This window comes from Homo sapiens, chromosome 4, assembly GCF_000001405.40.
Source record: "Homo sapiens chromosome 4, GRCh38.p14 Primary Assembly".
Taxonomy (NCBI): domain Eukaryota; kingdom Metazoa; phylum Chordata; class Mammalia; order Primates; family Hominidae; genus Homo; species Homo sapiens.
In genome coordinates this window covers 140,030,104-140,050,289 of record NC_000004.12, presented here as the reverse complement: position 1 = coordinate 140,050,289, position 20,186 = coordinate 140,030,104, and the positions used below count along the sequence as shown (strand labels likewise).

At 41.5% G+C, this 20,186-nt stretch overlaps 1 protein-coding gene and 1 long non-coding RNA gene across 4 annotated transcripts in view, besides 2 other annotated features; one reads left to right on the top strand and one right to left on the bottom strand.

Moving 5' to 3' along the window:
• MAML3 (mastermind like transcriptional coactivator 3) overlaps positions 1-20,186 on the top strand; it is a 437,432-nt gene that overhangs the window by 103,895 nt on the left and 313,351 nt on the right. The gene's annotated exons all lie outside the window — the stretch shown is intronic.
• The window catches only part of LOC124900783 (uncharacterized), a 52,131-nt gene that overhangs the window by 13,476 nt on the left and 18,469 nt on the right, over positions 1-20,186 (bottom strand). The window lies entirely within an intron of this gene.
• Positions 455-990: an enhancer, noted in NCBI's record as "NANOG-H3K27ac hESC enhancer chr4:140970454-140970989 (GRCh37/hg19 assembly coordinates)". NCBI's record gives its function as "activates a minimal SCP1, AML or CMV promoter by ChIP-STARR-seq in naive H9 embryonic stem cells {active_cell/tissue: H9 hESC(naive)}" and the evidence as "EXISTENCE:reporter gene assay evidence [ECO:0000049][PMID:30033119]".
• Positions 991-1,527: an enhancer, noted in NCBI's record as "NANOG-H3K27ac hESC enhancer chr4:140969917-140970453 (GRCh37/hg19 assembly coordinates)". NCBI's record gives its function as "activates a minimal SCP1, AML or CMV promoter by ChIP-STARR-seq in naive H9 embryonic stem cells {active_cell/tissue: H9 hESC(naive)}" and the evidence as "EXISTENCE:reporter gene assay evidence [ECO:0000049][PMID:30033119]".

Here is a 20,186-nt window from a genome sequence, read left to right as displayed (position 1 = left end):
AGGCTAGGCTGTTAGATGTTATGCAGTGGGGTGGGTTGGGATGGATAAGTAGGTGAGATAATCCTTCTAAAGTTTGGCGGGAAGACCTAGAATAGAGGGGAAGGCAAATTCTATTAAGAGAAATGAAAGAATATGGAATAGCAGAATACATTTCCTTGTTGTTATTGGCAATGAGCCCTGTTATATTCAGGCAGTGTGAGCTTTCAGAACTTCTATCAGCATCCTTCTTAGAAATTTCCCTTTTACCACAAAGGAGGCAAAGGAAAAAAAAATCTTTCTAGCAGAGATGTTTCTCTGCTAGATTTCTCTTTTGCCACTTTCCACTCCAGAAAGTTAATTTTCAAATGCTAAAATGGATTTTAAGATTTAGAAATAGCTACTGTGTTGACTAATTAAAAAAAAAAATCCTGTGATTACGTAGCCAATTGCTTTTTCAAGTACACCCACTTTTACTTTTTCTTTTCTAGTAACACCCTGGTGTGAAAACAAAGTAAAACCGAGTAAACTCACTGTAGAATTTTAGATGCATCTTATCTCTTATTTTTTGCCTAGATAACCATCTTTCTCCCCACCCACCATCCAGGCAGCACAGTGTAGTCTGTCCTTTTAAAAAAAAAGGAAGGCAACATGTATGATTTATACGTAGATACTCATTAAAAATAACTCCTGTCCAGTCTTTGCTCTTCCCCCATAGCCTGCCTGTTGGTTGTTGTTAACACCCTGATTAAGCCTTGCTCTTAATAGTACAATATATTAAGCTCAGCCTGCTCTCTCTTCCCCCCTCCTCTGTTCTCCCTGTGAGTGAGTGGCTCGTTTTAAACCATCCGCACACTTGCTGAGCCAGGTGGCGTTGCTTCCTGCCTCTCCTGCTCGCTGTTGCTAAGTGAGAGGCACCATATCACACATAAAGCTGAACCAATAGCATCCTGACCCCCATAGGCTGGTAAAAGCTGAAGAAAGAGAATCCCACAGCGTTGTCTGTGACCGGTGGGTCCTCCTCTCCCTCCCACCTTTTCTTTTCCAACAGGAAAGGGAGGCGGCGAGGGAGATGGTAGGAGGAAGAGGGAAGAAAGAATGGGGGAGGTGAATCCTAATATGCCTTGCTGTACTTGCGATAAATGCCATTTTTTTTTCTTTGTGAAGAAAAGGAGTGGTAGCTTCTCTTGTGCAATCACAGAGCAGCAGATGCGCTTCTTTCTGCCCCCAAACTGCCTGTGTTGACAAAGCTCAAACTCTGAATAAAGACGTCTGTTGACCTGCATATCTGCTTTGCTCCTCTCTCTTTTTCTTTCTCTCTTGCTATGAATCTTTGAATCCCCACAGTTTTGCACATCTTGGCACCCCTGTTCATTCTTCCTCTTCACCTTTCTTGTTTCATTTCTGTCTCACAGTATTCTTTCCAGAAAGCATTTCCTTTGAATGTAAAAATTAGCAAAGTATTCCGTATATCGTCTTGTGAGGAAGTCATCAGATCATCCTAGGGAATGGGGCAAGGGAAGGGGAATATTTATAAAGGGGATTTTAAAAAACTCGTTACGATTTTCAGTCTTGGCAGGGTCTAAGCAAGCACAAAGTGAAATGTGAAAGGCTGTTCTTAACTGGATAACTGCCAGTATAGACAGCCAGTGGTATAGTTGAGATTATACAGAGGAAATGACCTTTCTCCTGTAATTACCTGGATATTTTTGGCAACATCAGACCCAAGTTACCTGGGTAATTATGGCTTTGTAGATCTGACCTTAGGACAAAACAGATTCCAGTTAAGTTTTCCATGGAAAACATTTGCTATCTTTGGTAATAAACCTAGTGAAGGCACCCACTGTTTTTGCAACCATGGGAAGCCCAGTTACAAGGAGACTTTCTTCAGTTCTATGCCCAGTAGGTTCCCAATAAATTTCTCCTGACCTTTTGGAGATGGCTTTATTATTTGGTCACTTGTATGCCTTTTGAAAAGATAACCTGTGTTTATTTCTGAATCAAGGGTATTGAGGTTTCCTGTAACCTCTTGCTGAATTTGCACATGTTTTGGGAAGATATCAAAAGAATGATATTCATCCTTAAACTGTCCATTTCCCTCAAGAAATTTCCCTTTCATTCTTGAAATACTGCCCTACTATTGGGCCAGAAATCCAGTCCACTCACTCAGGATCACACAGAAAAGTGATCATTAGTCTCCCACTCCACCTGCTTTTTCCCAGCGTTTACACTAACTTTTGTGTTTGTTTGAACCAAAACTAAAATGTCTTCGTAAAGGGACATTTAAAGGAAGTATGTGGGGTCAGATTAAGCAAAAGGGAATTCCTGGGGAAAAGCCTTACCAAATGTTGAGAACTGGAATGTTTTTGTTCTTGTCTGAAGAGCCTATCTTTTTCTTAGTATCACGAAGTTAAAGATGGCCATTGCCGCCAGCGCTGACTTACAATATTTAAAGCTAAAATTCACAGACAGTCTTCAAACTTCACTCCATTTAAGTTCAGTCTCCTCCAAGCTAAACCAGAGCTATTTACAGGTATCCAAATGCTTAGATCTGAGCAGCGCGTCCATCTTCTGCTGTGCCCATTTTGGGGGTGGGGGGTGGGTGTAAATATCAAACTCAAGCTCCAAGAGCGGGCAAAGAAGTTTAAAAATAAAGGACTGGCCGGCAAGTCCTGTAAAACTGGCTTGTCCTGCAGTTGGCCGGTTGGTTGGGATATTATTAGGTATTATTCATTCATCGCTCTTCTATTTTGTGCTCAGCCCTGTGCTGAGAGTTTGGAGCTGGAAGCTCAGCGTGAGCCACGTCCTGGCTCCGCGCCTTCATCTCTGGGTTGCAGCCCTCTCGGTTTCACCAACTTCATTATTCAGATACGGGCGCTGCAATTCCGCCAAGTAAACCTGCCAGGACCAGCTCCTCTTGCTTCTCTTCTTCCTGGTGTATAATTCTCTGCCTTGAAATCCCTGCTTCACACCCACCTCCGCTGCCCTGAATTTCCTAACTCAGCCAGCCAAGCACAAATCCCTCTAAGTCCCTCAGTGCGTTCCCCCCAAATCTGCACTTGCCCAACAGTCTGTCTAGGCACTAGCTATGACATCGCTCTGGATACCTGATCAGTCCTCTGCTTTGTCCCCCTGTGTCTTTGCTTAGGCGGCACCCTCCTTCCAGACCGTTTCTCCCCTGATCTCTCCCTGTGGAAATCTTGGCCTCAAAAGCCCATCTCAAATGCAGTTTCTTCACTGAAACCCTTCTCCCAGTCTCTCAGACGGCATCTTCCAGTCCTTCGAAACACCATGGCCACTTTTTTCCGACCTCTCCTTCAGAACTTTCCACCTTCTACTTAGAGTTGTCTTTACTGTTCCCTTGGTAGTACCAACAGCAGCTCAGAGGAGGTGTTTAGCCACTCTCCTATATTCCACACGAGCCTCTCTGCAAAATTGCCTCAAATAAATATATAATATATATAGACTGCATTTACTATGCAAACACAGCTTCAGTACAGTCCCCCCTACCCCTCCCCCTGCCCTTTGCGACCCAGTTGCCAACCCTAAATTCCTCCTTTGTAGAAAATGTGAAACCGGATCCTCCCTACTTTATCTTAAGTGATTCAGGCCCAGAGCTGTGTCTTCCTCATCTTTGTATTTCCCAGTATTTGTATTTCTCACTTAATGTAACTGTCTTGCAGCCAGTAGGCACTGAAGAAATGCCTGTTGAATTGTTACGTAACGAAGACCAGAAAACCTGAAAGATTATGTCTATAATTCGCCAGGTTTTCAAACTGTATGTGTAGAGAAGAATGAAGTTTTCTGTGAATATTTTAAATTAGATAATGAGATCACAAAGAAGTTCAATTAAATCTTATTTATCAGTCAGGAGAGCCTAGGTGATGGTATAGTAACAAAGAACCCCCAAATCTTAGTGGTTTAAAGCAACAAAAATTTAGTTCTTGCTCATGTTTATTGTGGGTTGGTGGGGAGACGAGATTCTGCTTATCATTGTTACTCAGGGACCCATTCTCACAAAACTAGCCACGATCTCACACTAGTGGTTACGCTGAAGGAGAAAGAGCTCCAGAGGGTCTAACATCAGCAATTTAATGTCCCTGCCCAGAAATGGTCCCCATCACTCTGCTCACAACTTATTTGTCAGAACTAGTAACATGACCTCATCTAACCACACAAGAGCCAGGAAGTACAGCTCTTCCATGTGCCTGAAAGATAATTAGAAATATTTAGACCATAGCATAAATAACTCCCATGTTTTATTATTCTCTCAGGGTTTTTAGAGGGCATTTATATTTCATATTGACTTTGGAAGCATAGAGAATATTCATGCAATTCCTCTCCCTTTGCATATACTATTCTTTTTCTCACGCACCAAAACATGTTGCTGCGCTTAACCCTAGAAGACTAGGCCACGGCAATTAAGGGATAAGTGGTTCTATTTTCTCTAAGTATAAAATGGAGAACTTGCCCATTGTTTATAGCTCTTCAGCTGCTCTTACCAATACTTCAGAGGCTCTTCTGATGGGTCAGTGAGGCTCGAGACCCCTTTCCAAGGGCTGCCCCAGGTTTACTTTGAGTGTTGCCATACTCAGGATCATAGGAAATCAGTACAGGTTTTATAAATTTTTTTCTAAGAAATTAGTCAGAAAGTGTGAAAACATTATATAGTAGCTGAGTTATTTTTTATAGTGAAAAGCTGCAAGGAGCATAGATGTCCAACCACAGGAGATTAGCTGTGTAAGTTATGGTATATGGAGAAAATGGAATACATATAATCTTTAGAATTACACTTTAGAAGAATATTTTAGATTGAAAAAAAGTCCCAATACATTGATTGCAATATTAAAAAAAACAAACAAACAAAAACAGGCACTAGAACACAATATATAGCAGATTCTTTTTTTTTTTTTTTTTTTGAGTTGGAGTCTTGCTCTGTCGCCCAGGCTGAAGTGCAGTGGCACGATTTCAGCTCACTGCAGCCTCCACCTCATGGATTCAAGCGATTCTCCTGCCTCAGCCTCCCGAGTAGCTGGGATTACAGGCACCTGCCACCATGCCCATCTAATTTTTGTATTCTTAGTAGAGACAGGATTTCATCATGTTGGCCAGGCTGGTCTTAAACTCCTGACCTCAGGTGATCCACCCATCTTGGCCTCCCAAAGTGTTGGATTACAGGCATGAGCCACTGTGCCTGGCCCAGATTCTGTTTTTTAAAAATACATTAAAACTGGGAAGAAAAACACTAATATGTGAATGTGAACAAGGCTTATCTCTTTCTCTCTGTGATGATATTTTGAGTAGTTTTTGTGCTTTTTTTCTTTGATTTTTCTTTCTTTTTGTTAAGTAAGCAGGCATGACTTTTGTTGCACATAAGGAGATATGTAAATATCTCTGGCCTCTGAAGTGTGTTAATTTCAAGTAGCTTACATGGTGTTACTTCTTTTAGGTGAGTAGTTTGATATAAGAGGCACACAAATGACTCTCATATGTCTGTGGTGGAATGAGCCTGGTGCCAAGACAGAAATTCAGGAACAGTACTCCTGTGGATCGGGAGACAGTTTGACGTCAGTTCACACATGTCCAGGCATAAGCATTTTACCATTTCTTGCCCTTTCTTCTGCTGAGGCGTTGTATAGATCTTCCATGGCATTTTGACTTGACATTTCACAGCTGCTGCAAATCCACTAAGCAGGGACATGACACAGGCACTTTGAGGCCGCTGGTAGCACATTGGTTTGTAAAGAGATGCTAAATTTGCTGAGATAGTGAAAAACTGGCATGTATTTATTTTGGGATGAAACGGACTCTTGCGAAATAAGGGCCCATTCTGGAAGAACTTGTAACACTCATTCATCTTGTGTTGTGCACTGAGCTATAATGCTACAGCTGTCATCCACTTTCAATGAACGATTGTCATATTGTCAATCCACAATAATACAAAACAATTTTCATTCCCCATGTTGAAGCATCGCCATTGTAATATAATTCAGTTCATATTAACAATGCTTTGATGACAATTCCTTTCCACTCCACCCTTTAAGCCCTCCCTCTCTCCTTTCCTTAACCAAAGGGAAATGTATTTTGACAATATATCTCCAATGTTAACAGTTTTCTGCTTTTAAAACGTCTCGGGCCCATAGCCCTCATTGAAACTGCCGAGAACACACCAATCTTTTTTTTTTTCTTTCTTTCTTATAGAACTGTTTTGGGATTAGGTAGTGCCTTATTCAGGAGAACTGAAAGTATTTTTACCCATTTGTCTTGTTTATTCTTAAAACATCTCCATGAAAAATGAACGGGTATTATTTATTCCCTTTTTATCAGGAGCACAGTTAGAACTTAACTCAGTTCGCTTTAGATTTATAATCTTTTCATTAAAAGACGCTGCTTACTTTTCCTGGTATTAACAGTGATGTCAGTTGCTATTTACATGGAAAAATTAACTACCCTAATGAATTTATATTCGCTGATTTTCTCTAGAGGGGAAATTGATTCTATGTGTGAGTCTTCACTGATTTTCAACGTACTTTTCTGTCACAATAGACTATTTTAAACTGATAGTGTTGTCTTAGTTAGAATAGTCCCAAGAGCTGAATCTAGGTGGGCACGATTGATAAGATTGAAATATACTGTGTGTACCCGTGTAAGCTCTTCCAGGGACAGTGCTGCCATTTTTAAAGAAAAATTTTATTGTGGCTGTTGGCCACTTTCACTTTTCTCATTTTTAAATTCTTTAGTAGCTCAGATACTTGCCTAAAAATATGTGGCAGAATGTGGGGATATGGAGAATTTGAGGAAGGGAAGAAGTTGAATGTCAGAAACCACCAGAAATTTTTGGAAGGTCATGAATCCCCCAGATGACTGCTTGGAAAATGCTACAGTATTGCTTTCCTGGGGCCTGTTTCTCGGCATTCCTATAAAGTAAAAATTAGGGCTTTCAAAACAGCACATTCTTCAAATATAGGAAAACAGATTGAAACTGAATGAGGAAAAGAATTGTGTTTGGGATCTAAGAGGTGAACAGAGCCGTAGGTAAGTCAGTCTAGATAGATTTAGCAGACCTAAGTGTCTCCTATTCTGCATCCGTAAGTGAAGACTTGAGAAATAAAGAGAGAAGAGGGGTGAGAAGCAGAGGGAAAGGGAGAGATACATTCATAAAATATGCAGGTCATGTTCAATTTGTCATGTCCTTAGTGCTATAGGGCATCTGGGAACAGTCCTGAATTTGAATGGCTTGTCTTTTTTTCCCTGTAGGTAGACCTGTTTTTTGTTTTTTGTTTTTTTAAAAAAAATCAGATTTGGGTCCTTGTTCCTGGCTTGGGCAGCATGGTCACTGAGCCTGTAAGGGCATTACACCACTCAAGTCTAAATGCCTCTGAGACTTGAATTATGAGACTCACCCAACATCTTGGAACAGGAAGTGGAGACCCTGCCACTAACCGAAGCTTCAAACTTCATGTAAAGTTTGTGCCCGGGTTGGAATGTTGCCAGGACACCTCTCCTCTAACAGTAAGCAACATGGGGCCCACAGGAAGCTCCGCAGTCCCTTATGCATTTTCATCTCATAGCCAAATCCCCGCAACACTGTCTTGTCACATGGCCCCTGTGTGACTGGGTCAGACAAATGAGACATCAACCTTACTTTTAACTTTGCCACATTTTTTTTTTCTTTTTTTTGAGATGGAATCTCTCTCTCTCACCCAGGCTGGAGTGCAGTGGCGTGATCTCAGCTCACTGTAACCTCCGCCTCCAGGGTTCAAGCGATTTTTCTGCCTCAGCCTCCCAAGTAGCTGGGACTACAGGTGCCTGCCACCACACCCAGCTAATTTTTTGTATTTTTAGTAGAGATGGGGTTTCACCATGTTAGCCAGGATGGTCTCGATCTCCTGACCTCGTGATCCGCCTGCCTCGGCCTCCCAAAGTGCTGGGATTACAGGCGTGAGGCTCTCCCTCAGAGTGGGGTGTGTTTAGGGGAGGGACAACTGTGAGGCATAGTTTTGTTAAGCCATGGTTTGTTCATAAGGCTGTCCTTTGTGGTACAGAAAACTCTGCCAGCAGCCTTTAAAGCCACAAGTTACAAACAGCGAGCATAGCTTTTGCATTCATTCACTTATTCACACATCCACTCATTCACTAATAAAATGGCTGGGTGCTGGGTTGGGAGTCGGATACTTGGGTTTGAATCCCAGCTCTGCCATTTCCTGACTGCATAATTTGGGTACATTACTTATTTCTTATTAGTAAAATGTGGATAATAATACTTCGTACTTCACAGGAGGTTTGTGAAGGTTAAATGAGTTAATACATGTTACCAATGGTACCTTATACCTAGTAAGACCTTAGTAAAGGTTAGTTGTTCTATTTTTATCTCTTGAACAAGAGATTGCTACCCATATAGTCTTACTAAGAACTTCTCTATTAAAAGGTTTCTCATGAAATAGGCTCTCTGGATGAAGGAATTGCAGCCTTCCATTTAAATCCAGAGGTGTGTTTTTTTCTTTGTATTTATCATTGTCTGGACTACTTAAAAAAATATTTTCCCCATGTTAAACATGCTAGAGGTAAGATCATTCCTCCAGTTGTTGGAAGGAGGTGGGATGGATTTAATTCCAGTTCTTCAATTTGGAGTAGTTGATCCTCCTGCCTTCCTTGCCCTCTCTTCCCTTCTCTTCCACTCCCCTTTTCTTTTTGAGGCAGTGTCTCACTCGGTTGCCCAGGCTGGAGTGCAGTGGCGTGATCTCGGCTCACTGCAACCTCTGCCTCCCAGCTTCAACCTGGTCTGCCTTAGCCTCCCGAGCAGCTGAGATTACAGGTGTGCACCACCAAGCCCAGCTAATTTTTGTATTTTTAGTAGAGACGGGGTTTCGCCATGTTGGCCAGGCTGGTCTCAAACTCCTGACCTCAAGCAATCCACCCACCGCTGCCTCTCAAACTGCTGGTATTACAGAGGTGAGCCACCATGCCCTGCCTCTCTTCCACTCTCTGTTCTCTTTCTTCCTTCTTTTCCTTCCTATCTCTGGCCTACTCCATGAAGTCTGAGCTAGCAAAGGCATATTTATCCAGTGGTATGTATATAACCATTCTCATTCAAGTTGATGCTTCAAGACCCACTCACAGAATGTGTAATTTACCTCTCAAAAATTCAGATACCTCTGTATGCATTTGTATAGAAATGCATATTATTGGACATCAAATAACTCCCATCTATATAAAAGAAAATAAAATCTTATTTTAAATGTTGGGAATATAAGCATTTTAAAAATGTTCACAGTCAAATCATTTTGTCAAACAACAAAATGATTCCTTGGTGTCCTCCATGAAAGTTTCATAGACAATTTCAGAGACAAGCAGAATGGGTCAGACACTCGCTAAATAGTAATTGTAGTTCTGTTCTCTCAGGGACTTGAGTTGAATTAAATGTATTAGCTCAGATTGTCATAACGTCTCAAGAATAGAAGGAGGGTAATGTTTTATGTTTATGTAATAAGTGAAAGGAGACTATTATTATGCATAATATATATATTTGAATCCTATTTAAATCGGCAAAGAGTTCATTCTTGACACTGATTCTCCTACTCTGGCAAGATAAGGTCAGTAGGAAAGACATAAATATGGCAATTACTCTGTGTGTAATTTAACATTTGCATTTTCCACAAAATTATAATGTCCTTTTGTTCATCACCGTACCCTGTATTGTTGATTTTTTGAAGGGGTGTGCTTTGAAGTTTCTAATTTCTGTTGAATGTAATATTTTAGTGTGGCGCCCAAGGGCTAGAGGAAGGAGGGATGGACAGATTGGTGGATATCAACCATATAAACGTTGTGTAGGAGAGGGAGAGTTGCATTACTTGTTGATGTTCAGGTGGGAGGGACCCTTGTCCTCTACCTGGAGATGAGTTCTGTTTGTGAATCCCACATAATTTTTGAAGACTGCACTTGATGAGTACCTCCCTCTCTGGAGTTTAGGCAAGTTTTAAGATGTGTCCCGGAGTTCACGGTATATTTCTTTGTTTCCCTTTGCCTCCCACCCAATAGCCATTCACTCTTTCAGATGATTGGAGCTGCTCTCAACACTACAATGGAATAGAAATGAAAATGGGAAAACATTCCTGCCTTCAAGGATCTTGTTAGATGCTCTCTCTCCCACTTCTTCTCCCTGTGTGTCTCTGAGACCAGATATAAGTAAATACCTATAAAGGAAAAAAGTCAGAATTCGGTAGCACCCCACCCCTTTCCTGGGCCTTTTCGACCCTAACCCCTCTCTTGTTGACTGCATTCTGGTCTCACTGGTCTGTCCTCTCATGTCTTTGTGCACTCCATTTTCCTCATTCACTTATTTAGTTTCTGTGAGTGTGCGTTGTTTGCCCGCTCCAGCAGTAGCAAATGAGTTGGCCTTTGAACTTCCTGCGTGTTTCCATTTCTTTCTTGAGGGGTAGGGATAAGAGGAGAGGTTGATAGTGGTGATAATAGAGTATCTTTGCTCCTAAAAGGTAAAAGAGGAAAATCCCAGGCATTGTACAGCAGTGCACTAGCACCCATGTCAGAGTAGCTCTTGTTGCTTGGTGCGTATTAACTCTGGGACAATCCACTGAAGTGGCCTCTTTGTCAAATGCATGCCTGGCCCTGCATTCAGACAGCATTGCAGGGCAGTATGAAATACAGAGATGGAATGAGACAAGCAGTGGCAATGCCATGTCACCTGCACAGTCGGGGTGGGTGGGCTGTGCCTACAGTGCTATGGGGGTCAAGAGGAGGAGCAGATAACGAAAGCCTCTGGGAGAGGAGACATAACCTTCAAGGTTAGGGGCCTGGTGATTCAGAGAATGGTAATGCTTCTGATCAAGGCATGTTTAGTCCTCAGACCACTCATGGCACAAGGGTAAAGACCACCATGCATGGTCAGCCATGGTTCCATGGCTGTGGGCTGTGGGAGTTAGTGGGCCTGTGGATTTCCGCTAGAACATGCCCAATTGACCGTACCAGGGAGCAGTCCAGCAGACAGGTTGGGACATGATAGGACTGTCATCCAAAGCTTCAGCGATGCTTCCTGAAATTTCTGTGAGGCTGGTGTGGTTCTCCCCTTTGAATTTACTCTTCTTTCTGTGATTTCCCTCAGTCTTCATCCCAAGAAAGTTATGGCATTGTGTTTAATTTGCCTTAATTTATCTTTTCTTTTTTTTCTTTTTTTTAGACGGAGTCTTGCTCTGTCTCTCAGGCTGGAGTGCAGTGGCACGATCGATCTCGACTCACTGCAACCTCCACCTCCCAGGTTCAAGGGATTCTCCTGCCTCATCCTCCCGAGTAGCTGGGATCATAGGCGCATGCTGCCACACCTGGCTAATTTTTTGTATTTTTAGTAGCCCGTGTTAGCCAGGATGGTCTCGGATCTCCTGACCTCGTGATCTGCCCACCTCAGCCTCCCAAAGTGCTGGGATTACAAGCATGAGCCACCACGCCCAGGCCTTATCTTAGTATTATTCCTGTATATGCAGAAGTTGCCCTGTCGTTGCAGCTGTCATTTCACAAGCACCTTCATGAATAATAATAGCCGAGCTTGCAAGTGCTAGCCTCTGTTCCCTGTGTTTTATGTAGACTAACTCTTAATTATTGTCATAACCCTGGGAGGTAGGGACTATTATCCTCTTTTACAGATGGGGAAGCTGAGGTACAGGGCATTCAGTACTTGTCCAAAGTCACACGTGTAGTAAGTAGCAGAGCTGGCATTATGGACCCAGGCAATCTGGCCTAGGAGCCATTGCTCTAAATATGTGTGATACTTCCTCAGGACAAACAGTGATCATGTTTGGCCCTAGGAAGTCAGGGAAGGAAAACATATAATCCTTGCCACCAGTAGAGAAAAAAGACACACCCATAAAAATATCAGAAGCCATGTAGGATCTCTCCATACTGATGTGCTGCCTGTTTTGTTTGCTTTTATCAGTCCAAATATTTTTCTTTGGAGCCACAAGAGGTGCACCATTGCCAGCCAGCTGGGTGACCTTGGACAATTCATTTCACTCCCTGCCGTATCTGTAAAATGCAGGTGTGAGATCAAATCATCTTCAGGGTCCTTTCCAGCTCTGAAGTTCTGTGGTTCTGTGGTTTTGGAATGTTTTTGCGTAAAGCACTTGGCAGCACTAGAAACAGTCAGCATTTCCGAGTGCATTTCTTTCTGACTCTCTTCTTCACCCATGTAGAATTTCTGAAGTATCCTGTGATCTTTATTAATCACATAGGGACTGTCATCTTCTCAGACTAGTGGAATGGCTAAGGTGCCCTCTGCAGAAGATATCTTAGCTAATGTTCTCATTACTGACTAATTGGCTAACGAGACTTCTCTCACATTGCATTTAGGCTGATTGATAGTTTTCTATCACCTGATGGGTGGAATGGACAGCCAAACCAATTATCACCACAAAGAGAGCCCCATACAGCAGAGCAGTGTAGCTCGAGACAAAGGGCCCTTATAGATTATGTCTAATCAGGGTGCCTGCTGAGAGTTTGTTAAACAAAATGATTTTCTGAAAAGTACAGTTTAACATGCGTTGAAATACACGTACCTTAGGGTCATATGTAACTCAGTGGGCCTTGTCTTATTGAAAGCAATGTGTTTCTGATTATGTAAATATGGATAGCCTGCATAACTAGTTAGCTGTATAACTAACACTAGTTAGCTTTGTGCTGAATGAAGACGTGCGTTTGTTTGTTCAAAACTGAAGCTGCAGGCCTCCTGTGAGTCACATTGTGGGAGACATGCTCTACTTAGATGGAATCTTGTAGACATAGGGCATTACTCAGATTCCTTTTTGTATTTTCTTTTCATGTTGCTCAGGCTATTTAAAGGAAATAATATTCAGGTCACTTGCTTAGTCATTTAAATTGAGTCCATTTCTTTGTAGCTAATGCATTAATTTATTGAAATCTCTATTTAAAGTGCAAACTCCAGTTTTAGAGCAGAAAGATAATAATGTGCTAAGGATTCGTGTTAAAACCTAACCTGAGGAACTTCTTGATCCGTTCTTAGTTTGTTTTTTGTTTTGTTGCTGTTTTGTTTTTGTTTTTTTTTTTTCAAGCAGAGGGTCAGAAGTCATTTATAGTGCTTCCCTATACACAGTCTTGAGCTTCAGGTTTTCTGGGAACAAAAACATCAGGGTTCTTAGTGCCTCACTTTCCCAGTAATCTACTGAACTGTGTTATATGATCGTCAGTGGACTAAAAGATACCAGTGAATTAATATAAAGTCTTTTAGTTCTATTTCCCCCAAGCAGGGCCACAGCGATGTCAGCTGGGATCCTTGGAACTTGTGACAATATCAGTCTGATATAAATTCTTGTGTTGAAGCAAGTTTCAGTATTGGAAAGTGGGACTGAAGAGCACAGAGCACTGACCATAGCAGCAGCATGTACCATAGTGTGCTTCTGAGCCACCGTCATCTTCAAGGTGTTTTCTAAAATACACACCAAGAGTTGGATTCTAAAGATTGGCTCTAGGAGACAAACTTTTGGGAAAAGAAGTGAAAGAAAGCATGGTTATTTTTATAACTTAACAATTTTCCAGTAAATTATTCTTGTCTGACTGTTAAATAGAGGGACAGAGGAAGAAAGGATATGCCACTTGGAATGGGAAAAGGAGGGCTGGAGCACAAAATTGGCCGTGGTTGAGGTAGAAAATAGGCAGCTGTTCTTCTCATCTTCTCCTGAGCCTTCTGCTCCAGGAGATTCCTGCTGGAGCTGTGCTTGGACTCTCTGGCACACCGTACAGTCTACACTGAGCCATCAAAGAAGTTGCAGGAGAGGTGCTGATCTAGCTCAGCACCCGACTTGAAAGGGTCATTGTGTGGCACAGCAGTGGCATGGCTGTTTTCAAGGGAGCAGGTTTTTAATCGCGGTAGCTGTTTCATCCTCCCTGTAGTATTCTCTGACAGTGAAGATGGAGCCAGTAAATACTCATGTTCCTGCATGCTGGGTGACGGAGGTCTTGCTTTACATCCCTCTCTCCAGCTGCTGTGTCCACTTGAGGCAAATGTATCCAGGAAAGCAGTGAGGCAGGCAACGACAGGGGCCATTGGTAGATGTTCCCTTGGCTCATTTTAATACATACTGCGTCAGAATGGGCCTCACATGTATTAGAAATCACACACACTTGTTATTCAATGAAAACCTTGACTGACACTGTGTGTAAGCTCAGTTAACAGCAGAAGTACTGTTGACAACAGAATAAGGCTGTAACAGTGGCCAGTCATTTAGAAAAGGAATCGGTCCTAATCCTTACTTTCCTGTATAATCTATTCCCTTTCGTGGATATGCTTTGTTTCTGGTTTGAGTTCATCTCAATTCATTCTCAACTATGCTCTTTGTTCTTTGAACTCCCCAGTAAGAAATACATCAGGATAGAACTCTACCCAAAAAGTAGATAATGTGTTCCGAAGGGAATTAAACTAAAGCATTACCGTTCAACCTCAGGTAGAGCAATTTGGTGCTAAACTTTATTAATGTTAGTTTTTTGTTTTTGGGTTTTTTTTTTTTTTTGAGACGGAGTCTCGCTCTGTTGCCCAGGCTGGAGTGCAGTGGTGCAGTCTCGGCTCACTGCAACCTCCACCTCCCGGGTTCAAGCGATTCTCCTGTCTCAGCCTCCTGGGTAGCTGGCGTGCCACCACGCCCGGCTAAATTTTTGTATTTTTAGTAGACGGGTTTTCACTGTGTTAGCCAGGATGGTCTTGATCTCCTGACCTCGTGATCTACCTGCTTGGCCTCCCAAAGTGCTGGGATTACAGGCGTGAGCCACTGTGCCCAGCAATGTTAGCATTTTAATGGAAAGATTTTTACATATATTCCCTAGAGGTAAGGATGTGGTTTGTAATTTAAAAGCTATATGTTATTAAGTGATGATTGCAGTAATTATACTATTGGATAAAACAAGGAGGAAAACCTGGGTCCTGTGTTCAGATATCTGATTTGGAAAGGACTCCGTTGATTTCACATATTTGGAACATGAACTTTCTGTTTTTCAGGGTTTCACCTTAGAATTTCCTTGGCTTGGCCGGGCGTGGTGGCTCATACTTCTAATCCCAGCACTTTTGGAGACTGAGGCAGGTGTGTCACTTGAGGTCAGGAGTTCGAAACCAGCCTTGCCAACATGGTGAAACCCTGTCTCAACTAAAAATACGAAAAAATTAGCCAGGCATGGTGTGGCAGGCACCTGTAATCCCAGCTACTCAGGAGGGTGAGACAGGAGAATTGCTTGTACCTGGGAGGCAGAGGTTGCAGTGAGCCGAGATCATGCTACTGCACTCCAGCCTGGGCAATAGAGCAAGACTCCATCTCAAAAAAGAACTTCCTTGGTTCATATTGTTGGACAACTGAATACATTTTTAGCTTGTGTCTGGTAACTGTTTCCCAGTGGGGTTTGTAGATGTTGCTTTGCCTGCCTCTACCCATGTATAACCTCCATCAATATGTTATTTGATTTGGTTGTATATTATTAACTGGAACTTCCTGGAATTAGACAAGCAGGGATTCAAACTACAATCAAATAATAGCAATGCCCTCTTTGTTACTTTCCTTTCAAATCTAAAGCAAGACAAAAATTCAGCTACTGAATAGTTGAATACTGAAAATCAGAGGTATCTTCACAGAGCTAGTAAGCATCAGACTTGGTTTGAATCCAGGTACTCTGATTCCAGATCTCAGTGCTCTTAACCACTGTGCTATATGGCGTTATGGAGCATCTAGCACAAAATAGACATTCAGTGAGGTGATCAGACATCATTTGGGAGTTGAGGTGCTCCTCAGGTTGGGCCCACCCAGCCTTTCCTTCTGATCCTTGTTCTTCAGTATTCTGCCACTCAAACCCAGTAAAATCTTTCTTTCTCATACCATATGTCTTCCAACTCCATCTCTTTTTCAAGGTATGTGTGAACATTGGACATCAAAACTTCAATGGTTTATTAAGAGTTTAAATTTCTAAGTAATCTACTCCATTTCTGTCTAAGTCAAATCACAACCAGACTATCTCACATCAGATGTTCATTTATAAGGAATTAACTTCCAGGTTGAGTCTAAGGATCAGTTTGTATTTGGTCTGTCTCTTCATAGGCTACTTTGTAAGCTATAAAGAGTCCTAGACAAGAACGCAGAAACCCTGGGTCCTCGTCTTGCCTCCATCCTGATTCTTGTCTGGCTTACCTCATGGAATTCTTGTGAATGAGATAGAAGCCTTTTGTAAACCCTTGGTTGCTATACAAAGCTGTTGTTGCTGTTGTTGTTGTTATTATTATTGGTCCACACTGTGAGAAGGGTGGTATATAATGATGACTCTGAGACCCATTGCAGGGTGGTTAGTCGTCAAAAAACAACTCATTTATGTTCAGGCCATTGTAGTTCCAAAGGTGGGCACATTCTTTTATAGACCTCACAAAGATTTTAAAATAAGAATGCACACTTTAAAAAAGTCTCATAGCACTGCTTAATGCAAGCAGACATTATTCCATTGTGTGCCCAGTGCCATGCCAACATTTGAACATTTATTCAGTCCTTACACATGCATACTTAATCATCCCGATAACCCTGTGTGGTGAGTACTGTTGTTATCCTCATTTTATATATGTGGAAACTGAGAGCTTAGGTGACTTATCCAAGATCACAGAGCTAGTAAGCATCAGAGTTGGTTTGAATCCAGGTGCTCTGATTCTAGAACTCAGTGCTCTTAACCACTGTGCTATATGGCCTTATGGAGCATCTAACATAAAATAGACATCCAGTGAGGCGATCAAATGTCATTCGGGAGTTGAGATGCTCCTCAGGCTGGGCCTGCCCAGCCTTTCCTTCTGATCTTTGTTTTTCAGTATTCTACCACTCAAACCCAGTAAAACCATTCTTTCCCATACCGTACCTCTTCTTGCTCCATCTTTTTTTCAAGGCTGAGCCCTTCTCTGCAAAGCCTTTCCTCGCCACTCAGGTTTTGCGTGAGCTTCTTCCTTTTCTAGATACCTACATTTTGTATTTGGAAATTAATTACGGCCTCTATTCATGGTCATCTTTTCATATGTTTATGTCATTGCCACAGGGCTTAGTTATAAATGGCATGGAAAAGCCCTTGCCATTTGTTTCGAATAGCTCTTAGTGCAATGATGTTCACAGGATGTGTTCAATAAGTGCTTCTAGGTCTATTGATTATGTGCAATCCATATAGGAAAAGGATGTTCAGCCAGAGCCTTATTCTTGTATGCTTTTTGGAAATTCCAAAACAGACTCATGCTCTGAACACCCGTTCATGGTTAGAAGCTGGTGGCTTTTCCCAGGAAACACAGTTTCTCCCTTTCTACAAACTTTTGACCAGAAAGAAAAAAATCACCCAGTGCACAAGAGCCCGATATTTTCTTGAAGGATAAGCAGCCAGTTGCATTCTCTCACTTTTTTTTTTTTTTTTTTTTACAAACAATGAGAGGTTTTTTTCCAATGGTAGAAATGACATAAATTCATTGTAAGGAACTTTGGAATTTATCAAAAAGTGTAAAGGCAGAAGAATAAAAATTGACCATATTCCTAGATGTCGAGTAAGTTTTCCTCAGAATAAATCTTTAGAAATGACGTTGACAGAATGAAGAGGGTTCAAATATTAAGTTTTTGGTAACATACTGCCAAATGCCCTTCAGAAAGTTTGTACTAATTTACCCATTTGTATCATTGATATGGATGTGAGTCTAATACTTTCAGTATTATATAATGTGTAATAAAAATTATTTTCAGATAACTTACAGGTTTAATAGTCAAAGTACAGTACCCAATTGCTTAGACTTGATGAGGAACTGAATGGAAGTAAAATGATTTTAAATATCTGGTTTACTAAAACCAATTAACAATTTCACTTTCCTTAAAAGCAGAATAATTTCAAGTCTGAAGTTTTCATTCAGGTTAAAATCAGTCTACATTCAATGCTAGAGGTTCAACAAATTCTAAGACAGGTCATCCGCTACAAAGATAGGCTGGAGCAGCCACTTTCAATTTTGCCTGAATTTTATCACTAACTGTGATAAAAGGGCACTTAACCTCTTTTAGCTTCCCTTGCCTTGTCTTTGAAAATGAGTGGGTTGAACTAAATTATATCTACGATCATTTCCAATTCTGTGATTCTAGAACCATCAATCTAAATCTACATGGATACAACCAGAGCTATAGGAATACTGTTTAGTGGGTGGGAAAATGAAATGTGCACAGACAGGTAAATTTAAGGCTAAGTAGAGTTAAGATCCAAGTTTCATATTTTCTTTGGAAAAATTTTGATTTATTTAGTGGTTGCTATTTATTAAGACCGTTGGCCAGTCAGCCAAGGCAGACAGAGACTGCAAGTTAGTTCCAGTTGCTGAAAAAGTTGCTTCCAGTAAGAGTTGGGGGTGAGGGAGAAGGCAAGGCTGGAAATAGAAACGTAGGAGAATTTGAGCATATCTCAGAGTACAGAGAGATCACTCTCAGCTGGGGGAGAAGGAAAATCTCTGTGAAAGAAGAAATTTTTCAGATGCACCTTGGCAGGCAGAAATAGTAGAAGGAAGTTTCTGATGAAGGTAATCTTGTCATTCCCAAAATATCATGATGACTAACCCTATGAAAGTTTAAAATGTATGGATAAAAGTTTCCATGCCACTACAGGGTTATTATAAAATTTAACTTAAATCCCACTTCAACAAATGTCAGTCATTGAAGATCTTTGTATAACCAATATTGCAAAACCTTTGCTGATGGATTACTTATTTGAATCAAAATTTAATATAGCAAAATTTCAGTGAAGGAGATGTGACGGGCTCATAGGGTTTGTTGTCTATCCTCTAATAACTTTGTAGTCTCCTCACATCCAGTCACAAACTTCCTCTGAGTTGGAAGCCATATGAAACTTTTTGTTCTCTGCAGCAGTCTATAAGAAAAAATTACTTAGTCCATTTTTAAATATTTATTCTTTCTATAATAATATTATACACACAAAATCTCAGCTTTGACCCTCGGAGGAGAGCCGAAGGTCCAACGTTCTGATGATTTCATATGGACATACACTAGCTGTTATTTGAAGAATAAATATTTAAATCATAGAATGAGTAAGCATTGGAAGAATAATGATGGCGTTTTCTTTGTTGTTAATCTATTTGTGCCTGAATTTGCTTTAAATGCCCCTTTAAATTTTTTTCTAATATAGTGGGACTAAGGAGAGTAATCATAACTCGTGGCAATATCGGAGGACAGGGGTGTGACTGTGGCCATTTAGTGCAGGAGCACAGCATCAGTACAGTCTGCGGCTGTTTTCTGGTGGGTTTTAATCTCTGCTGTCGCTGCCTATCACAAGATAACTGGAGCCCAGGTTTTTCAGACGGTATTATATGCTGATGCTGTGTTACCAACCTCTGTAATTTCTGAGTTTCTCATTATCAAAGGTGGGAGCCTCATCTCTGCTTAACACAGCAGTGCCTGGAGAGGTAATAATGATGATGATTTTTACCATCCCTGGGGTTTAGAATGTCTCCTCTGTTATGAGGCTTGCCCAGTGGCGGGAGGTAGCCTCAGAACTCCCTACCCCTGGAGCACTTAGTTGGCAGCATTTGGAAGTGTGTGCTTGTATCTCCGCAAGCTGGGAGACTGGGATGGAGAGCCAAAAAGGGAGGGAGGAGGTGAAATGCCTAGGGAGTTGAAGGGAAAGAAGTGAGATGAGGTAAAGGAATCTTGAGTTGTCAGGAAATACAGAAGCAAAACCAGGTAGAAAAGAAAAACAAAAACATGGGACAAAAAGGAAAAGGTGGGAGGAGGTGGATGGAGGTGAGGATGGCATGCTTTGAGATAGCTGTTTGGAGCCTGGCCCTTATTTTCCTCTGTCCAGTAAATAAAACTGAATTTTGTCTTCCTGTGGCATTGATCTTCACTCTGGGCAGGTAAGACTTTCCCCTGGTAAGTGTTGAACAATTTAGGGCAGGCCCCCTGCCAAAGCTAGTGTGTGTTGTCCAGTGCCTTATATGGTAGTTTATCAATAGGTGGTTGTAATTTTAAAATAATCTAATCTCCTGTCTCCAAGGAAGCTGCCATGAAGTCACTGACGTGTGATCGGTGGGACATTTAAAGATGAAGAATACAGTTATCCTGAAAATGGGAGGGGAGGAGGGAAATGAACCAGGGACCGCATCAGCACCAGAACTGAAGGAGTGGAAAATAATTAGAAGGGAAATAAGACAC